Raw genomic sequence first — 588 nt, 5'->3', positions numbered from 1 at the left:
GTCTGTATGAACATAGGATTTCTTTTCTCTTGGTTAAATACTTAGGAGTATAACGTCTGGATCACACAGTAGGTGTATGATTAACTATTTAGGAAACTGACAAACTCTTTTCCAAAGTTGTACCATTTTTCATTCCTACCAGCAGTGTATGAGTGCTCCAGTTCCATCTCATCCATGCCAGAATTTCATATGGTTCGTCTTATAGTTTTAATGATTCTAGTAGATATCGAATGGTATATCCTCATAGTTTTAATCTGTGTATCCTACAAATTTCTGTTTGTTGGTTTGTTTTTGAGACAGAGTTTCGCTCTTGTTGCTCAGGCTGGAGTTCAGTGGCACAATCTCAGCTCACTGCAACCTCCGCCTCCTGGGTTCAAGCAATTCTCCTGCCTCAGCCTCCCAAGTAGCTGGGATTACCGGCGCCCGCTACCACTTCCAGCTAATTTTTGTATTTTTAGCAGAGACGGGGTTTCACCATGTCGGCCAGACTGTTCTCAGACTCCTGACCTCAGGTGATCCACCCACCTCAGCTTCTGAAAGTGCTGGGATTACAGGCGTGAGCCACCGCCCCAGGCAAATTTTTATAAG

The sequence above is a fragment of the Homo sapiens genome, chromosome 12, assembly GCF_000001405.40.
Source record: "Homo sapiens chromosome 12, GRCh38.p14 Primary Assembly".
Lineage (NCBI taxonomy): Eukaryota > Metazoa > Chordata > Mammalia > Primates > Hominidae > Homo > Homo sapiens.
This window is presented reverse-complemented; position numbering follows the sequence as displayed.